General features: G+C 43.0%; 3 annotated features.

Moving 5' to 3' along the window:
- Window positions 652-721: a silencer, noted in NCBI's record as "silent region_16881". NCBI's record gives its function as "represses an Ori minimal core promoter by ATAC-STARR-seq in GM12878 lymphoblastoid cells {active_cell/tissue: GM12878}" and the evidence as "EXISTENCE:reporter gene assay evidence [ECO:0000049][PMID:35858748]".
- Window positions 2,499-2,588: an enhancer, noted in NCBI's record as "active region_23934". NCBI's record gives its function as "activates an Ori minimal core promoter by ATAC-STARR-seq in GM12878 lymphoblastoid cells {active_cell/tissue: GM12878}" and the evidence as "EXISTENCE:reporter gene assay evidence [ECO:0000049][PMID:35858748]".
- Window positions 14,752-14,991: an enhancer, noted in NCBI's record as "active region_23933". NCBI's record gives its function as "activates an Ori minimal core promoter by ATAC-STARR-seq in GM12878 lymphoblastoid cells {active_cell/tissue: GM12878}" and the evidence as "EXISTENCE:reporter gene assay evidence [ECO:0000049][PMID:35858748]".

The raw sequence follows: 21,984 nt of genomic DNA, 5'->3' as shown, positions 1-21,984 counted from the left end.
GCAGGTCTTCAAAAATTAAAAATAGAATTGCCATATGATTCAGCAATTCCACTTCTAGATATATACCCCAAAGAACTGAAAGCAGGGACTTGAAGAGACATCTGTACACCCATGTTCGTAGCAGCACTATTCACAATAGCCAAAAGGCAGAGAAGCAACTGAAGTGTCCATCAACAGATGAATGGATGAACAAAAAATGTGACCTATCCATACAATACAATATTATTCAGCCCTAAAAAGAAAGGAAATTCTGACACATGCTACAAGTGGATGAACCTTGAAGACGTTAGCTCAGTGAAATAAGCCAGTCACAAGAGGAAAAACATTGTGTGATTCCACTTATATGATGTACCCAGAGCACTCCAATTTAACAAGACAGGAAGTAGAATGGCAGCTGCCAGGGGCTGGGGGTGGGGAATGGGGAGTTTGTGTTTAATGGGTACAGAGTTTCAGTTTGGGAAGATGAGAAAGTTCTGGAAATGGGTGGTGATGATGGTTGTATCACACTGTGCATATATATACTTAATGCCACTGAACTGTATACTTAAAAATTGTTAAGATGCTCAATTTGTATGTAATTTATATTTTACCACACTTTTTTAAAAATTGCCACATGACTGCTGAAGGCACCAGTCACATCTAGTATTTCGTTCAAAGATGCACCTTGCACTCAGAGCATCCCAGTGATACAGCACACAGCTGTGGCTGGGCAAATGGGATGTCCACAGTACCGTAGCCAGTTCTACATACCTAGCTGAGAGCAGGGTGATACCTGCTTCTCAGGCTTCTTCTCATGACTCAAACCAAAGACCACGGGACGCCACAGGAAACCGAATGCTGGAACCATAAAACAACGCAGAGCAATTTCTTTATTGCCATCTCCTCAGCTTAGAACTTTTCACAGAAGTAATTTATGAAGGGCAAAGTTCTCAGCCCATGGAACTCCAGGGGTTTGGCTTATCTGGTGCATAGAGAGTTCTTTCCTGTTTCACAGAGAACACTGGAGGAGCTTTTCTGTGGAGCTGTGAAGGATGACACCATGTCATAAATGAAAGGTGAAAATGAGTACGCCTGAGACGTCTGCCCTGAGTACTTGCTTCAACAGTCTAAGCTCCAGTTTCAGGGATTATTTTGAGAACTTAATTTAGCTGTAGTCAAACATGCCCATTTGTAAGGGGCCTAAATAAGTCACCTGTCTTTAAGCCCAAGGTCTGAAGCACCATTCAGCTCCTCCAGCATTGTTTGCAATACAAAGATACAAGCACACTTTTCTTTTTAAAATCTGGTCCAATGGCTCTCTGAAGCTGCCTTTAGTCTTCTAAAGGCTCTTTGGCCACCTACTGGATTTTTTCAGTGCCAGAGCTGGGCAGAAAAAGAGCAACTTACTGCCCTTGTTCAAAGGAAAGCGAGAAGAGTTGCAGACTGGAAGCTAGACAGACTTTGTTATTCAGTACCCTCAGGGATTTGCAAGAGAATACCTCAGACACAGTCTGTCACTACCCTTCTCTCCAGGAAAAGCCAATTATTTCTCCAACCTAAGGAGTCCGGCACGAATGGAAAAGCTTCTATGACATCTTTATTGTGGGCAAAAGGAGGGAAAAAGAAAAGTGACAAAATTAAAGTATTTTGCTTATTTTTTGTAAGTTACCAGAGGAAAGATGTTTAAATGACTTGCCAGTTTTTTTCCCCCCTCATATTTAAAAAAGGATTATCAGCTACTTTCACTTTCTAATGAACAGTTCTAGTCTTCTAAAGGAATTCTGTGTGGGACATTTAATTTAAACTGAAATCATTCTGATTAATAAAAAGAGGTGGAAACCTCCTGTTCTTTTTTTTTTTTTTGTATCGAACACGTGAATTCTGTTAGATGTGGCCCTTGAGATCAGAGAGCGAAGCTAGAAAAAAATGGAAGTTACGACTCATTCAGGAAGAACACACTGAAAGTGAAAGATTCATTAAGAATGCGTCTTTAATTCTCAGATAGTGCAGGGGAAGAGGAGCAGGCGCACAGATGGAAGCTGAGGAAGGCTGGGCTGACGGGGTCGCTGTGGGTGCAGCCAGGGTGTAGGGTGTGCTGGAAACTCATCAGAGTCATTTGAGCAACCTCGGTCATGGTTGTGGACATCAGGCTTCCAAAACTACAATTTTTCAAAATCAGATCAGAGTCTGAGAGGTGCTGGTAGTTAGGGACTGTGCCTTAGGTACTGACCCTGAAAGGTGGTGCTGCCTTGAAGGAGGCCTGGTGAGGTGACTTCAAAATGCATACCGGCCAGCGGGGGAAGGACCCAGAGCCCACCTATTAAATGAGTCTAACAGTCATTTAATAAATTGGGAAATTGGGATTCTGAAAGCTGATGTGTGACTTGCTGAAAGTCCAAAGCTACTCAGAGCAGCAAAGCTAAGCAGAGCTGAGACTTAGATTCAGACCTCCTGACCCCAAGAATTGAGAGTTCAGCAGTCTTCTATGTGAAACTCAAAAGCATCCACTGATGCTAGCATCTGTCAGAGAGAGGCAGGACAAGGCCAAGGCCACATGGCTGTGAGCTAGCATCACCAGCCTCTGCTCTGTCATCAGGAGGCATGGCATTGGTACAGATCCCTGGAACCCTGCCAAGTGCTCCAGGCTTTGAGGGCAGCCTCTTCAGCAGTGAAAGAAATCAGGGAAAGACAGGAAAGCCCCTCCAAGGTCAGCGGGCTAGGATGCAAACCACCCAGATGGCCCCCCAGGCTTGCATATCCCTTGGGGCTTTTCATCCGCCTTGGGTCTTTCTAGGTGTTCTGGCATCTCAAGTTGCTTGAAGCATTGCTTTTATTTACCTCTCTGTTGTCTTTCCTTTCTGTCTTCCAAGCAGCTAAGGATACCCCTTGTAGACCTGGTCTCCTCCAGTTTCCTTAACCCATTCTATTTTTTTTTTTTCTTTTTTTGAGATGGAGTTTCGCTCTTGTTGCCCAGGCTGGAGTGCAGTGGTGTGATCTCGGCTCACTGAAACCTCCGCCTCCCAGGTTCAAGCGATTCCTGCCTCAGCCTCCCAAGTAGCTGGGATTACAGGCATGTGCCACCACGCCCGGCTAATTTTGTATTTTTAGTAGAGACGGGGTTTCTCCCTGTTGTTCAGGCTGGTCTCGAACTCCTGACCTCAGATGACCTGCCCTCCTTGGCCTCCCAAAGTGCTGGGATTACAGGCGTGGGCCACGGCGCCCGGCCCTCCTTAACCCATTTATAGTGAATTTCAGAGCAACAAAACATTGCATTTTCAATAAATCTGGATTATGAAGTTGGAAACAAATAAAAGTTGACATGTGCTGAGAGCCCTGACTCAATTTTGAGTCAAGTGGTTTGCCCAAGGGACCTCATTTAACCCTTGCAATTGCCCTTTGAGGCAGATAGTCTGCCCCCATTGACAGAAAAGAGATTCAGAGAGGTTAAATCACCCAAGGTCCTAGAATGAACCAATCCTAAGTCCCCATGTGGACAGTGAAATGATGCGGTACCATTTGCCAACACCCAGAAATCACAACAGTGAGGGGTCCCTCTACCGACTTAGTCCCTACTTGAAATAGTGATTTTAATTTTCTTAAAAGGTGTTGTGGTTAAAACAGACCAACAAATCGAACTTGATTTGTTCAGACAGCTCTGAACCCCACCCTCCCTGTGGGCCGCACCTTAAGGATGGGAAGAAGAGGGCTGCTGGAACGCCAGGCTGGACATGAGAAGCTGCTGAAGTGCCATTCCTCTTTTTCCTAAATGCACACCAAGACACTAGATTTGCGAAAGGCGGAGAAAGGTTCTTACTTAAACTACAGTGATAAGGAGCACCTTGGGATAAACTGGAGAAATGGCTCTAAGCACAGAGCTGTTGTTTTTCTGCCTGCCCCTCCAACATACAAAGATGTCACCAAGCTAACAGGACAAAAGTTAAAGAGGGGATGATCCACTGGAAAAGAGATTTGCAGCCGAGACTGCTATAGCTATCTGAATACTGTAAAGCGAAGCCACAGGAAGGAAGAAGACAGGCAGAAACATCACATACCCAGGGAGAGGGCTTAGTTGACAAGCTAACTAGAGTAAGCGGCTTTGCTTTTTTTTTTTTTTTGAGACGGAGTTTTACTCTGTCGCCCAGGCTGGAGTGCAATGGCGCGATCTTGGCTCACTGCAGCCTTGGTCTTCTGGGTTCAAGCGATTCTCCTGCCTCAGCCTCCCGAGTACCTGGGATTACAGGAACCCACCACCACGCCTGGCTAATTTTTGTATTTTTAGTAGAGACTGGGTTTCACCATGTTGGCCAGGCTGGTCTCAAACTCCTGACTTCTGGTGATCCACCTGCCTCGGCCTCCCAAAGTGCTGGGATTGTAGGTGTGAGCGACCATGCCCGGTAGAGTAAGGGGCTTTTTTTTTTTGAGACTAAGTCTGGCTCTGTTGCCCAGGCTGGAGTGCAGTGGGGCGATCTCAGCTCACTGCAACCTCCGCCTCCTGGGTTCAAGTGATTCTCCTGCCTCAGCCTCCCGAGTAGCTGGGACTACAGGCGTCTGCTACCACGCCTGGCTAATTTTTTGTATTTTTAGGAGAGATGGGGTTTCACCGTGTTAGCCAGGATGGTCTCCATCTCCTGACTTTGTGATCTACACGCCTCAGCCTCCCAAAGTGCTGGGATTACAGGCGTGAGCCACCGCGCCCAGCCAAGTAAGGGGCTTTTCAACAGAAGAAACCACCCAGAGGAAACTGGGGAAACAGAACGCTGTGAACTCATGTGTAGAATAAATGGTGCTCCTTTCTGCATATTCAGCCATCGCCAGCATAAACAGGTAGTTTATGCTTCATCCACTGCACGCATAATGGGTATTTCAAACAACACAATGATATGGGTCAAGGCAGGGTGTAAGTCAAAAATCTGGCAAGCAGAGGACCAAATTCCATCCTAAAATGAAGATTATTTGTGAGTGTGTACGTGTGTGCTCTCCACTTAGAAAGACTTATTTCTGGCCAGGTGCGGTGGCTCATGCCTGTAATCCCAGCACTTTGGGAGGCCGAGGTGGGCAGATTATCTGAGCTCGGGAGTTAGAAACCAGCCTGGGCAACATGGCAAAACCTTGCCTCTACTAAAAATACAAAAAATTAGCCAGGTGTGGTGTTGGGTACCTGTAATCCCAGCTACTTGGGAGGCTGAGGCAGGAGAATCGCTTGAACCCGGGAGGCGGAGGTTGCAGTGAGCAGAGATCATGTCACTGCACTCTAGCCTGGCGACAGAGCAAGACTGTCTAAAAAAAAAAAAAAAAAAAGAAAGAAAGACTTATTTCCAGTTCCTCAAACTTCTGAAAGATTCCAGGATTGTACTGTTTTTTGATGGGGGTTAATACACAAAGCTGTCACCACTAAGCACGGCCATAAGTCACAACGTCTTTCTGGCGGTTGATGGAGAAAGTTATGTGGGAGGGTGGGGAGAGGAGGGGAGGTGGTGCCCAGACAAGTCAGAGGAGGCTCCTATGGGAACAGAAATACCTGCCATGGCAGGTGCCACAAAACCCCAAGCAGTGGAGACTGGCTGGCTTTGAATCCAAAGGTTCTCCTAGATTGAACCCACCATCCCTGTAAAGGTCCAAATTAAAACGTTTTACAGGTCGAGAGGTCTCCTCTAGGAGATAATTTACAATTGTCTGCCCTGGCAATGAAAGAAAAAAATCTGAAATCTTAACTGGCTGTGGCACAAAGATGGTGGAAGAATATAGACCTTGCCATGGATACTTTCTTGGCATTCAGTATCATGTCAGCATCCCTGGAGGTGGGCTTTCCCAGTTAACTGGGTTCTTTGTCGTTCCCAACCACACTATTTGTGCATTCAGCATGCACAACACATTTGTAGATGCCCCTGGCTGCTTTTGCAATGAAAGAGTCCCAACCTGGATGTGAAAGTTTCTACACCTTTGCAAGAACATGGTCCAAAAGCTACCTTGCAATAGGTAAGTATGGCAAGGCCAGTCCCTGTCTCAAAATGGATGGTGGAGAGTTAAACGAGAAATTTGCTTCCTTAAAATAGAAAGGCTACCTAGAACAAGGGTGTTATAAAAATGCACAAATCCTGGTTCTATCTCTTATTAGCTGGCAACCCAGACAAATTATCTAACTTCTGTGGGTTTTCATTTGTTCACCTATAAAGATATACGACCTTGTGTACTAGACAGGATTATTATATAAATTAAATAATGCACACATGCACTCAGCACAGTGCCTGGCCCATGGTAAAGAACAGGATTCATTCCCTCAGAGGTTCTCTTTCTACCAATTCCAGAGTCACAAATACCAACTGTATCTATTCATCTTTTCGGATTTTGTGATGCACTTTTATTAGAAACAAGCTCCACAAGGGCAGAGGCCTTTTCTGTTTTATCAAACAGCCCTAATCTCAGTGCTAAATAAATATCTGTTGTATAAACACATTAATAAACAGAAGTGTCAATACTCTTTGGAATAATTGTGGATATTTATTTGTAGGTGTGTATCCAGTGGGTGATGGTAGTATGTCTTTGATCTTAGGAACCACAGCTGCTTTGTGTAGCATAATTAGTGCACGGTACCAACACAGTCTACGGTATACATATGCCTAACACAGGGCTTCTCAAACTTTTTGGTCTCAGGACTCCCTTTACACACTTAAAATTACTGACAGCCCCAAACAGCTTTTTTTTTTTTTTTTTTTTTTTTTTTTTTTTTGAGACGGAGTTTTGCTCTGTCGCTGAGGCTGGAGTGAATTGGTGCGATCTCGGCTCACTGCAACCTCTGCCACCCGGGTTCAAGTGATTCTCCTGCCTCAGCCTCCTGAGTAGCTGGGATTACCGGTGCCAACAACCACACCCAGCTAATTTATATATTTTTATTAGAGACGGGGTTTTGCCATGTTGGCCAGGCTAGTCTTGAACTCCTGACCTCAAGTGATCCGCCCACCTCGGCCTCCCAAAGTGCTGGGATTACAGGCATAAGCCACGCGCCCGGCCTTTATTTTTTCATTTTTTTACTTTAAATTTCTCCTAACTCCCCAAACTTGTTATTTAAAAAAAAGATAAGATTATTTATTTCTTGTTGAGATATTCTGTTGCCCAGGCTAGAGTGCAATGGTGCAATCATGGCTCACTGCAGCCTCAACCACCTGGGCTTAAGCGATCCTCCTACCTCAGCCTCCTGGGCAGCTGGGACTACAGGCATGTGCCACCATGTTTGGCTAATTGTTTTATTATGTGTAATTTTTTTTTATTAGACTCACTGCAGCCTCAAACTCCTGGGCTCAAGCGATTCTCCTGCCTTGGCCTCCCAAAGTGCTAAGCTCTGTTTCCTAAGTGCTTCCTAAAGACCATACTTCCTCCCTGGGGTCTTCCTTAGAACAGTCATAGAAAGTGCTTCTTTCTCCATCTGGCCTACACATAGAATTTCCATTTACCATGACACTGCTTGGTAGGTTTAAAATTTCATAAATGAATTTATCACAGGTTGCATGTAACCCAGTCTGTGTTGATTTTCTTTCTTTTTTTTTCTTTTTCTTTTTCTTTTTTTTTTTGAGATGGAGTCCCACTCTGTCACCCAGGCTGGAGTGCAATGGCACGTCTCGGCTCACTGCAACCTCTGCCTCCCGGGTTCCAGCAATTCTCCTGCCTCAGTCTCCCGAGTAGCTGTGATTACAGGTGGCCGCCACCATGCCCGGCTAATTTTGTATTTTTAGTAGAGACGGGGTTTCGCCAGGTTAGCCAGGCTGGTCCAACTCCTGACCTCAGGTGATCTGCCCACCTCGGCCTCCCAAAGTGCTGGGATTACAGGTGTGAGCCACCACGCCCAGCCCAGTCTCTGTTAATTTTCATAGCACCATTGTAATATTAGAGAATATAATTTAATCTATTTTATGGTCATTTATCAAACTGTTTTTATTAAATGAAGCACTGGCTTTGTGTCACCTGTCTACACAGAGGCACAGTATGATAAATCAGATACTCTTATTTATTACAGGGAATCCTGCTAGTTCACATTAAATTCTCTTTGTGAAGACCCATGGAAGGAAGGTCTGGGGGCCAAGAAAAAAACCGAGTTTCTCCTGCACTACCAGTTTGTTTTCACATTATAAGGACCTTCCAAATTGTATCATTAATCACTTCCCCTTCTTGCTTTGAGTGCTCTTAGGAAGCTGAAAGCCAACTCTGCAGACCATGTCTAGTAGATGATCTGGATCTCAGGATATACAGTTTGTGCATCAACCTTATCTCAAGGTTTAGCCTCAGTTCACCCACTTATTTATTTTAAATACTGTTGTACTAGCTGGATAGGAGGAGTAAGTTCCGGTGTTCTACAGCACTATAACAACAGTTATATATAGTTCAATTATATAGTTCGACAGCACTATAACAACAATTTATTGTATATTTTCAAATAGCTAGAAGAGCAGATTTTGAATGCTTCCAACACAAAGAAATGATAAACGTTAGAGGTGATGGATATGCTAATTACCATAATTTGACCATTGCATATTGTACACATGAATGGAAATATCACACTGAACATCATAAATATGTATAATTATTCTGTGTCAATTAAAAATAATATGAGGCCGGACATGGTGGCTAACACCTGTAATCCCAGCACTTTGGGAGGCCAAGGTGAATGGATCACGTGAGGTCAGGAGTTTGGGACCAGCCTGGCCAACATGGAGAAACCCTGTCTCTACTAAAAATACAAAAATTACCATGGTGGTGGACGCCTGTAATCCTAGCTACTCAGGAGGCTGAGGCACAAGAATCACTTGAACCCAGGAGGCGGAGGTTGCAGTGAGCCAATTTGCGCCACTGCACTCTAGCCTGGGCGGCAGAGCAAGACTATTTCAAAAATAATAATAGTAATAGGAACAACACGAAAAAACTGTGGGTATAATGAAAGAAACTTTTAGCAAATAAACAAAATCTGAAAAAACTAGAATCAGGCCCCAGAAATTCATGACACTATTTAAAACAGACTGGCTGAGGTTAAAATAGACTCATTAGAGTCTTTGTAAGTTTAACATATTTTTATTTCTATAATATTTTTCCCCATGGAGAAATAAATACTATTGTACTCACTATGTGTATTTCTACAATCCCTTTTTGGGATGAGGCAGGGTATGTATGAATAAGTAGAATGTATCTTTATTATTTATTTATTTATTTTGAGATGGAGTCTCACTCTGTGGCCCAGGCTGGAGTGCAATGGCGCGATCTTGGCTCACTGTAACCTCCGCCTCTCAGGTTCAAGCGATTCTCCTGCTTCAGCCTCCCAAGTAGCTGGAATTATAGGCACCCACCACCACGCCCAGCTAATTTTTGTGTTTTCAGTAGAGACGGGGTTCCACAACGTTGGCCAGGCTGGTCTCAAACTCCTGACCTCAGGCGATCTGCCTGTCTCAGCCTCCCAAAGTGATGGGATTACAGGCGTGAGGCACCACGCCCGGCCGGAATGAATCTTTAATCTACCACTTATAGTTTTAATCTCCCTCCCTCCGCTCCCTCCCTCCCTCACTTCCTTCCCTTTCTTTCCCTCCCTCCCTCTTTCACTCTCTTTCTCTCCCTCCCTCCCTCTCTCTCCTTCCTTCCTCTTTCTCTTCCTCCTTTCCTTCTTTCTCCTTCCTTCCTTCCTTCCTTCTTTCTCCCATTCATTCACTCATTTTTTGATACAGTGACTCTCACTGTGTTGCTCAGGCTGATCTCAAACTCCTGGGCTAAAGTGATCCTCCCGTCTCAGCTTCCCAAAGTGCTGGGATTACAGGCATGAGCCACCACTCCCAGACTAATTTACTACTTTAATCGTCGTTCTCAGATGAGTCCCTGAGATAAATGGTCAAAAATCAGTTGTAGCAAAGTAGGAAGTAGGAAAACTTTTAGTCATTTATTTTCCATAGTCCATATTATTAACTACATTTCCACACACAAATGAGCTGTTACTTAACATTACAAACATTCAACTACCACACATCTAATGCACTTTGAAGGGGTCTCTTTTCTTTTCTTTCTTTTTTTTTTTTTGAGACGGAGTCTCACTCTGTTGCCCAGGCTGGAGTGCAGTGGTGCGATCTCGACTCACTGCAAGCTCTGCCTCCCGGGTTGACGCCATTCTCCCGCCTCAGCCTCCCGAGTAGCTGGGACTACAGGCGCCCGCCACCACGCCCAGCTAATTTTGTCTGTATTTTTAGTAGAGATGGGGTTTCACCGTGTTAGCCAGGATGGTCTCGATCTCCTGACCTCGTGATCCACCCGTCTCGGCCTCCCAAAGTGCTGGGATTACAGGCGTGAGCTACTGTGCCCGGCAGAGGGTGTCTCTTTTCAAAAGCTCTCTTGCAATCAGAGGAAAGGAAGAAAAATGCCAGGTAAATGAGATGTATTATCTTTCACTCCTTACAAACACCTATGAAAGGCTATTATTTCTTCCCCATTTGATAGGTGAGAAAATGGAGGCCCCAAAAGGTTAATTTTCCTAAAGTTACACAGATGGTAAAGGCAGAATTTAGAAATCAGGTCTTTGGCACTTGAAAGCTCATGGAAGTGTGTTCATTGTGTGAAAGTTCAAGGAAGTGTATGTTTATGATCTGCACTTTTCTGGGTGAATATTACACTGCTATAAAATGGGAAAAGAAAAAGGCCACAAGGTTCTTCTGATGTATCTCAATTCAATGCCAATGTGACAAAATAAAGGATGTAGGTAGAGCAGAATAACAAGGTACACGTTGTTCCTTGGCAGCCCCAGCAGACTGGTTCCAGGACCCCCGCAGATATCAAAATCCACAGGTGTTGAAGTCCCTGATGTCAAATGGCATAGTATGTGCAAATAACCTATGCACAATCTCTCATATACTTTTTACTTTTAACTTTTTTTTCCAGTCTCAGTTTGTTCACGTGTATTTTTTTTTTTTTTTTTTGGTAGAGGCAGAGTCTCACTATGTTGCCCAGGTTGGTCTTGAACTCCTGAGCTCAAGTGACCCGCCTGCCTTAGCCGCCCAAAATGCTGGGATTACAGGCATGAGCCACTGTGCCCAGCCTTCTCATATACTTAAAATCACCTCTACATTACTTCTAACACCTAATGCAATGTAAATTCTGTGTAAATAGTTGTTGTACTGTATTGCTTTTTATTTGTATTATTTTTGTTGTTTTTATTTTTCCAATAAATTTTTTACATTATTTATTTATTTATTTTTTTAGAGACAGGGTCTCACTATGTTGCCCAGGCTAGTCTTGAACTCCTAGTCACCTCAGCCTCCCAAGTAGCTGGGATTACAGGCACATGCCACCACGCCCAGCTCTGTTTTAGAATATTTTGGATCCTCGGCTGGTTGAATCCTAAGGCCAACTATAACGAGTTACAGGCATGGTCCTGATGTTACTGTCTTAACTAATCTGTAATGGTGGGATTATTTTTATGAATGAAGTACATCTAATGAATGGATTCTTTATTAAGTTTGCACCTCTCATATGCCCATTCTCCAAGGACACTGGGTCACAGGGATGACATAAGTGACAACCCATGCTTGTGTGTTTGAGGCCTCCACAGTAAGGAAGCAGGCCGAGAATAGATCAAAATGCAATAATTATGGTAACAACAACATGTACCTCATCTCTTCTTATCTTTTTGTTAGATTTTCTTCTTTCTCATTAAAAACACGTATAAGCAAATGTAATATCAACAAGTAGGTTTTCTACTTTGCTGAATATTAAAGTTTCCAGCTGACCTGATACTATTTTAGGAGATCCTCTGCCATCACCTGCCGCTATTTATTTAGAAATGTAAAGTCACTTTATCATTAACCTCAATAATTCATAATTAGGAAGGTAAACCTGCCTCTGAAAACAAAGCCCCACCACAGGAATCATTTTGAAGTTGAATTTCTTACAGCTTATTCATGACAAGATTCAGACTCATTAGGGCAGTCCTCGCGTAAAATCAGATTAAAGGGGTAAAAGGAAGATATTGAACTGAGCGTCAGGAACTGGATTCCAGTCTTGCCACTAATTAGTTGTTACCTTGAATAAGTAACTTAATATGTAGGTTTTTCCTTCCTTTTTCAGTAAAATGGAGACATCAAATTTCTAAGGTTTCTTCCATTTTACCCTTCTGAAGTGGCTCAAAAACAATTATATTGAGACCAGATGCGGTGGCTCACGCCTGTAATCCTAGCACTTTGGGAGGCTGAGGCGAGTGGATCACGAGGTCAGGAGATTGAGACCATCCTGGCTATAACGATGAAACCCCGTCTCTACTGAAAATACAAAAAATTAGCTGGGTGTGGCAGCGGGCACCTGTAGTCCCAGCTGCTGGGGAGGCTGAGGCAGGAGAATGGCGTGAACCTGGGAGGTGGAGCTTGCAGTGAGCCGAAAACGCGCCACTGCACTCCAGCCTGGGCAACAGAGTGAGACTCCATCTCAAAAAAAAAATTATATTGAATACCCATCTGCATAGGGAACAATACAAAACATTGAACATCCTCTAGTGAAAATGAAGAAGCCTGAGTAGGGACAGAAGGCCCCTCACCTCTGCACAGCAGTAAGTGTGGATGGACAAAGCCATGATGCTCCTTCAAAAACAGTTCTTGGCTTCCTCCAGCCTACAGACATCTGCCAATCTGGTTATAGGCCATGGACATGGCCTTGATACTAATATTTCTGAAGGATTCCCTAGGGGCCAGGTGAGGACACCAGAACCAGAGGACAAAATAGAGAGGCCAAGCCAACGATGACTGACATCATAAGCCATGATCTCTTTAAAGCCCAGAGTGATCCTAGTGATGGGGCCATCTGGGTCACTATCAGAGGGATGGCAGTTCTCTTCTAGAAAACAAAATCCTATTTGACGAAAGCAGAAAATCCAGCGGATGAAAGCCAGGGTCCAGAGAGAGATACGCATTGCCTTCATATCACAACCATGAGGCCGAAGCCATATGACCACAGGCAAGTCTCTTCACATCTCTAAGCCTCAGTTTCCTGTTCAATAGATTATTCATAGAATTTAACCCAGTGGGGTTCTTGTGAGAAATTAATGAAAAAAATACACCTAAAACATTTAGCACACAGCCAAGATAACAGATAACAAGATAACAGCTCTCTGGACAGTAATTCTGTCAGCACCGCTCCCCCCAGCCCTAATCCAAGTCCTCTCATTTATGCACAGGCATCTGCTAAGAAGTTTCTAGTTTGTCTGTATAACTTCCTGTACATCCCTCCCTTTTGTGGAATACCTGTCCCAAGCCACGGGGACTCTAAATGCTCAGTAAGAACTTGCTAAAAGAATGAATAATTTATAAGGGACCTAATATAGCACCAAGGCATGATTATGATCCAAGCAGACTCTTTGGGCCCATTTGTGCCAGAGACTCCGTTATTTTGTAATTAACAAATATCGTGAATTTGCTTTGAAGATTGTCAAAGAACATGACAATTCTGCCTCAGGTGTTTGACTCAGGGCAAAGCATTTAAACTCTATGTGCCTCAGTTTCCTTTTCTATAAAGTGGGACTAACAATAGTAGCCTACACATAGGTTTAAATGTGAAGTGCCTGCCTGACACATGGCACTTAATAAGTGTTAGCTATCTTATTTCATTTATTTTATTTATTTATTTATTTATTTATTTATTTATTTTATTCATATAGACATGCGGTTTCACTATGTTGCCCAGGCAGGTCTCAAACTCCTGGGCTCAAGCAAACCTCCTGCCTCAGCCTCCCAAGCAGCTGGGACTAAAGGTGTGCGCCACAGCATCTGGCATTAGATATCTTATTTTAAACCTGGTAAAAAATGTTCCATTAGGCCAGGCGCAGTGGCTTATGCCTGTAATCCCAGCACTTTGGGAGGCTGAGGCAGGTGGATGACCTGAGGTCAGGAGTTCGAGGCCAGGCTGGCCAACATGGTGAAACCCTGTGTCCACTAAAAATATAAAAATTAAGCCTGGCACGGTGGCTCTCACCTGTAATCCTGGCACTTTGGAGGCTGAGGTGGGCAGATCACGAGGTCAAGAGATCGAGACCATCCTGGCCAACATGGTGAAACCTCGTCTCTACTAAAAATACAAATATTAGCTGGGCATGGTGGTGTGCGCCTGTAGTCCCAGCTACTCGGGAGGCTGAAGCAGGAGAATCGCTTGAGCCCAGGAGGCGGATGTTGCAGTGAGCCAAGATCACACCACTGCACTCCAGCCTGGGCAACAGAGTGAGACTTGGTCTCAAAAAAAAAAAAAAATTTAGTGATAATGTAGTGATGGATAAAAATCTGAGCCCATAATACCTTCATCATTGTTAGTAAGTCCTGTTTGACTGTCAGCACCACCAGGGAGTCAGGAGACTCAACTCTCTACCTCCTCCTCTTCCCACTGTCTTATTCCCTTAGTCTAGATCAGGCCCTGGAATCTGCATTTTAAATATCTTCCTTGAGTGAGTTGGACACAGGTCGTCACCAAACTGACACACATATGAACAAAAAAAAAAAAAAAAAAAGAAAAGAAAAGAAAAAATACAGACAAATATAGCCCTGGAACTTAATGAGGGAACTGGGCCAAATCTTGGGTGATTCCCCTCTCCCTCGAAGAGAGGGATTTATGGTTTAGGTAAAAACCATTAAGAACACATTGGTTTTTTTCATTGGTTTCACTTTGAGTTTCTGCCTCCTGCAACCCAAAACACAATCATACAGAGCTTCGCAGCGTGGGTCTGGGCCCTGCGTGAGCAGGGCCACGTGACCGAGACTGCCTGTGCTGAAGAGCTGAAAGCAGAGGAACACACAGGCAAGGGGAACCTACAGATATTTCCCCCTTTACTTTCTTTTCTTTTTTTAAAAAAACTATAATCCCATAGAGACATATGTGACAAGTCTGACAAATGGACAAAGGAATGACGCTTGTTCTCATTTAGAAAAAGCTTGCTGATGCTGGATGTGTGTCAATGCACAAAGCTGTGGCTCGAATAGCCAAGGACATAGCATGTTTTTTTGTTTTTGGTTTTTTTGTTGTTTTTTTAATAGATGAGAGCTTCCTATGTTGCTCAGTCTAGTCTCAAACACCTGACCTCGCCTTCTTATGTGCCAGGACAACAGGCCTGAGTCACCGTGCCTCCTGACATAGCATCTTTCGTACAGGATTTAGGGAAGCATGAGAGCACTGGAAATAAAACCTAAATGGTGGGTGAGCTATAGGTAAACACTGAAATATCATGATCTTATTAAAAAGAAAATAGTGAACCCAAAGAACCTGATATACAAGAGAAAATGAACCAGGCTGCCAAAATCCTCTGTTTCAACAACAGAAGTCAATGGGATACAGTGGTTTAAAATCATGTAAAGTGAGTAAAATGTTCAACCCTGTGAGAACAGAGCAGTAATCGTGATGGGCCATCAGCCAGATAAAAGTGTCCATATTTCTGGTCCCAGGCAGTATCTCTCTCTCTCTCTTTTTGTTTTGTTTTGTTTTGTTTTTTTTTGAGACGGAGTTTGGCTCTTGTCGCCCAGGCTGGATTGCAATGGCACAATCTCGGCTCACTTTAACCTCCACCTCCTGCCTTCAAGCAATTCTCGTGCCTCAGCCTCCTTAGTAGCTGGGATTACAGGTGTCCACCACCACGCCCGGCTCGTTTTTGTATTTTTAGTAGAGATGGGGGTTTCACCACATTGGCCAGGCTGGTCTCGAACTCCTGACCTCAAGTGTTCTGCCCACCTCGGCCTCCCAAAGTCCTGGGATTACAAGCATGAGCCACTGTGCCCAGCCTCCAAGCAGTACCTCATGCAACACAAGTATTTAAGTATTTATCAAAGATGGTCATAATCAGCTCTTAAAACATACTAACTAAACACAACACTGTACACAGAAACACTTAAAAATACCACTTATAAGAGCATCAAAAGTTTTAAGGTATTTTAATATATTTTAAAAGTTATATATATTCCTATATATTATATGATATGTAGGAATATTTACTATACACTAATACATATGTAATATAATATATTCTACGTATGTAGGGAGATGTAGGAATACACACAGTTGCAGCATTTCAGTCAACAATGGACTGCATATATGACAGGGGTCCCATGAGGGATAGTATATACACATTCCTTATAACACCATATTTTCACTGTACCTTTTCTATGTTTACATATGTTTAGAGACACAAATAATTTCTGTTGTGTTACAGTTGCCTACAGTATTCTGTACAATAACATGCTGTACAGGTTTGTAGCCTTGGAGCCATAAGCTACATACCATATAGCCTAGGTGTGTAGTGGGCTATACCATCTAGGTTTGTGTAAGTACACTCTGATGTTCACACAATGACAAAATCACCTAATGATGCATTCCTCAGGATGCCTCCCCTTCGTTAAGTGACACATGACTGGATTGTATATTCTACAGGTCAAGTTTTATAAAGAAAACCACAACGTTCTTGGGGCATTGAAGAAGATATACATAATTGGTGTTCATGCACTTATATAATTTTACTATGTGCCTGAGACTATTCTGAGCACTTTGCACATATTATATGCAAGACATGTAATCACCTAATCCTCTCAATTACCCTATACAGTAGGTACTATTATGACCCTATAAGGTAGGTACTACTACGATCCCTATTACACAAGTGAGATAACTGAGACACTCTAAGGTCAAATTCTCCAGGGTCACATGGCCAGTGAGGAGCGGAGCTAGGATCTGCACCCAGGAGGTCTGCCTCCATCCTTTTAGCGATTCTGCACACTGCCTTTCAATGTGGTACACTCTATTGTAAACGTGCTGGTTCTCCCCACATTGGTCTACAGGTTCAGTGCAGTCCTAATAACTCCAAAAGATTCTGTAACAGAATTGGAACTGTTTCTAAAATTTACATAGAAGCACAAGAGGCCAAGAACACCAAGACATCATTGAAGAAGAACAAGGTGGAAGCACATGCCCTCCCAGATGGCATGACTCCTTAAAGGCTGTCATAACTAAGACAATGTAGAGCTGGATCTAAGGTTGACAAAGAGACGGACAGCACATAGAGAGCACAGAAACAGACGGAGCACACATGCATGACACAGGTGGCATTCCAGAGTGTGTGGGAAAGATGGAAGCTGCAATAAACAGTGCCTGGACAAACACATATCTATTTAAATGAAAACTGAAATGGACCTCTACCTTCCAACATTCATAAAAATCAGTTTCAGATGAGTGAAATACCATATAAGAAAATGTGAAAGGGGAAAAAAACTATAAAGAATAGAGGAGAATATCTTCAAAAAACTATGAAGAATACAGGAGAATAACTTCATAAATAGGGAAGAATTTCTTAAAATATAAAAGCATTAACCATAAAGAAAAAGACTGATAAATTCAACAATATTAAACTTAAGAATGTATGCTGGCCGGGCGCAGTGGCTCATGCCTGTAATCCCAGCACTTTGGGAGGCCGAGATGGGTGGATCACTTGAAGTCAGGAGTTCGAGACCAGCCTGGCCAACATGGTGAAACCCCGCCTGTACTAAAAATACAAAAATTGGCAGGTGTCGTGGCGCACGCCTGTAGTCCCAGCTACTTGGGAGGCTGAGGCAGGAGAATCTCTTGAACCCCGGAGGTGGAGCTTGCAGTGAGCTGAGATCGTGCCACTGCACTCCAGCCTGGGTGACAGAGCCAGACTCTGTCTCAGAAAAAAAAAAAAAAAAAAAAAAATGTGTATGCCTTTGAATGCATACACATTCTTAATTTTAATATTGTTGAATTTATCAGTAAAAAGTAAAAAGACAAATCACAAAGTCGGAGAAGATATTTGCAACACATATTCTCGACAAAAAGAGTCATACTATATCTTCGGATGCTGGGCACTGAAAAATAAAAAGAAAAAAAGATTCATACCAGAATATATTAAGGAGTCCTACAAATCAGTAACAAATTAGCTTTATAAAAAGAGACAATCCACAGAAAAATGGGCAAAAAGTTTGAATAAACACTCAAAAAAAAAAGTATACAGATGGCCAACAAACCTATTAGTAATCAGGGAAAAGCAAATTAAAACCACAACAAGATACCATTTCATAGTCACCATTTTGGCAAAAATATAAAAATCTAACACTACCGAGTTTTGGTGAAAATTAGGAATAATAAAAATGCTCATTCTATTTTTTTCATTTAAGAGACAGAGTTTCTTTATTGTCCAGGCTGGAGTGCATTGGTGCAATCATAGCTCACTGCAACCTTGAACGCTTGGACTCAAGAGATCTTCCCACTTTAGCCTCTCAACTAGCTAGTACTACAGGCAAGAACCACCATGCCCAGCTAATATCTTTAAAAATTTTTTGTAGAGATGGGGTCTTGTTATGTTGCCTAGGCTAGTTTTAAACTCCTGGCCTCAAGCAATCCTCCCACTTCAGCCTTCTAAAGTGCTAGGATTAAAGGCATGAGTCACCCCACACAGCCAAAAGAAAATTTTTTTTTAAAGATAATTATGTAAAGTGACAGACGTGTTAAATTGATTTCGGTAATCATTTCACAATGTATACATATATAAAATCATCCTTTGTATATTTTATTTTATTTACTTATTTTTGAGATGGGGTCTCACTCTGTCACCCAGGCTGGAGTGCAATGACACAATCTCTGCTCACTGCAACCTCTGCCTCCCAGGCTCAAGCTATCCTCCCACCTCAGCCTCCCGAGTAGCTGGGACCACAGGCATGTGCCACCACGCCTGGCTAGTTTTTGTACTTTTGGTAGAGATAGGGTTTCATCATGTTGCCCAGACTGGTCTCGAACTCCTGAGCTCAAGCGATCCGCCCGCCTTGGCCTCCCAAAGTGCTGGGATTACAAGCATGAGCCACCGCGCCCAGCCCCTGTTGTACATTTTAAATATATATTAACATTTTGTCAATTATACTTCAATAAAGCTGAAAAGAAAAAAACCCTTTTTAAAAACCCAACCTCAGCCAGGCAGGGTGGCTCATGCCTTTAATCCCAACACTTTGGGAGGCCGAGGCGGGTGAAACACCTGAGGTCAGGAGTTCAAGACCAGCCTAACCAACATGGTAAAACCCTGCCTCTACTAAAAATACAAAAATTAGCCGGGCATGGTGGTGCGTGCCTGTAGTCCCAGCTACTCGGGAGGCTGAGGCAGGAGAATCGCTTGAACCCGGGAGGCAGAGGTTGCAGTGAGCCGAGATTGCGCCACTGCACTCCAATCTGGATGACCGAGTGAAACTCCATCTAAAAAAAAGAAACAACAAAAAAACCCAGCCTCTTATTCACTGTTAGAGGGAGTACAAACTAGAACCACCTCTTTGGAAAACAGTTTCGAGTTACAGCACAAAGCTAAAAATACAAATATCTGACAATCCAACAATCCACCTTCCACCTATACCCTAGAAAAACTTTTGTGTAACTGTACCAGGAGATGCGTACAACAATGTCCTTCACAGCCATTTTCATAAGAGTCAAAAGTTAGAAACAGTTCAATGTCCATTGACAGTAAAACAGATAAATGCATTGTTGTAGTACACAGGAATACTAAACAATGAAGATGAACAAATGATAGCTATTAGCATCAACATGGGCCAGACTCTCAATCATAATGTCGACAAAAGCAAACATATAAAAAGTAATATATACTGTTCTAATTTATATGATGTTCAAAATTGCGAAACTAGATGATGTACGTCAGGCGCAGTGGCTCACACTTGTAATAATCCCAGAGTTTTGGGAGGCCAAGCAGGGAGGATCACCTGAGGTCAGGAGTTCCAGACCAGCCTAGCCAATATGCTGAAACCCCATCTCTACCAAAAATACAAAAAATTAGCCGGGCATGGTGGCAGGCACTTGTAATCCCAGCTACTCAGCAGGCTGAGGCAGGAGAATCGCTTGAATCTGGGGGGCGGAAGATGCAGCGAGCCGAGATCGCACCATTGCACTCCAGCCTGGGTGACAAGAGCAAGACTGCCTCAAAAAAAAAAAAAAAAAAAAATTAAAAATAAATAACAAGAAAAAGAAAAAGAGGCTGGGCATGGTGGTTCACATCTGTAATCCCAGCACTTTTGGAAGCTGAGGCTGGTGGATTGCTTGAGCCCAGAAGTTCGAGACCAGCCTAGGAAACATGGCAAAACTTTGTCTTTATAAAAAATATAAAAATTAACTGGGCATGGTGGCGTATGCCTGTGGTCCCAGCTACTTGAGAGGCTGAGGTGGGAGGATCACTTGAGCCTGGGAGGCAGAGGCTGCAGTGAGCCATGATCACACCACTGCACTCTAGCCTGGGTGATAGAGCGAGACCCTGTCTCAAAAAAAAGAAAAAGAAAAGAGAAATATGTCGCAATGAAATTTTATTCAAGACAGCAAGAATGTTCAATGACAAGAAACCCTAAATAAAAGCAACAACAGCTGACCAAAATTTGATTTTTGGTCAAATTTTGTTAGAAGATGAAGCCTGAAAATTAGCATGGACATTGAGTTGTATTATGTATTGGAGGAATTATCACAAAATAATTAGAAAAGAGGTAGGAAATTCACAGCAGAGCAAATACCTGATGATGTTTTAGTTATATTTTAAAGGTAGGCTATAAAATTTAAATACGGCAATATGATGATACCTTGTTTTTATTTTTATTTTTTATTTATAGAGATGAGGTCTCCTTATGTTGCCCAGGCTGGTCTCAAACTCCTGGGCTCAAGTGATCCTCCTGCCTCAGCCTCCCAAAGTGCTGGGATTATGAGTGTAAGCCACCACACTTAGCCAATACATTTTATTGAATAATTCTTTTCTATTTCTTCCCTTCTTGCCTCAAAAAAAATAAAGTTCTCTTCCCCAAACCTAAGACTTTTCACTCTGACTGCAGCTAAGCACAGAACTATACAGAAAGTATAAATTATATCCCTGAAGGTCTACACTCACCCTCTAACAGCAAATAGATTTCTGCTCAGCCCTGAGTTTTCTGAAAATGGTTTTACATTTGTTTTTACTAGGAGGCCACTTAAATCTTACCCACTTGTTTAGCTGCAAGGATTGAAACAAAATGTTTGCTGGCAAAACAAACACTGGTTTTAAAATTCTCCACTTGGGCTGCTGGATAAAACACTTGTTTACTGAAACAAATGTTTTATTTGGAAAATGCCTGTCAGTGTGTACACTTTCCAAGAAACACACCAGGATGTACCAGGATAGTGATGTCACACCCTTGATAGAAGCTAGCATTTTAGGGCAACTTCACCAAGTTTACTTTCAGAGACTAGGACAACAATGGGAAAATCAAGCTGTTAAAAATTCAACCACCTGGGCCAGCCATGGTGGCTCACGCCTATAATCCCACAACTCTGGGAGGTCGGGAGATCAAAACCATCCTGGCTAACACGTTGAAACTTTGTCTCTACTAAAAATACAAAAAATAAACTGGGCATGGTGGCACATGCCTATGATCCCAGCTACTGGGGAAGCTGAGGCAGGAGAATCGCTTGAACCCGGGAGGCCGATGTTGCAGTGAGCTGAGATCGCGCCACTGCACTCCAGCCTGGGCAACAAGAGCAAAACTCCATCTCAAAAAAAAAAAAAAAAAATTCAACCCCCAGCCAGGCACTGTAATCCCAGCACTCTGGGAGGCCCAGGCAGGAGGGCTGCTTGAACTCAGGAGCTCGAGATCAGCCTGGGCAACATGGCAAGACCTGTCTGTACAAAAAATTAAAAAAAAAAAAAAAATAGCCAGGGCATGGTGGCACGTGCCTGTAGTCCCAGCTAATTGGGAGGCTGAGGTGGGAGGATTGCATAAATCCAGAAGGTGGAGGCTGCAGAGTCATGTTCGAGCCACTGCACTCCAGCCTGGGTGACAGAGTGAGACCCTGACTCAAAAAAAAAAAAAAAAAAAAAAAAAAATTAAAATTAAACCCCAAAGGCCTAAAATGCTCTTACTGGGTCATTAGGTAAGCTGGTTCCATTCCTTCACAGCTAAATTCTTTATATAATCAAATTAGTTTTATAAATGATATTCTAATAATAAT

This window comes from Homo sapiens, chromosome 6 (assembly GCF_000001405.40).
Source record: "Homo sapiens chromosome 6, GRCh38.p14 Primary Assembly".
Classification (NCBI taxonomy): domain Eukaryota; kingdom Metazoa; phylum Chordata; class Mammalia; order Primates; family Hominidae; genus Homo; species Homo sapiens.
This window is presented reverse-complemented; position numbering and strand designations above follow the sequence as displayed.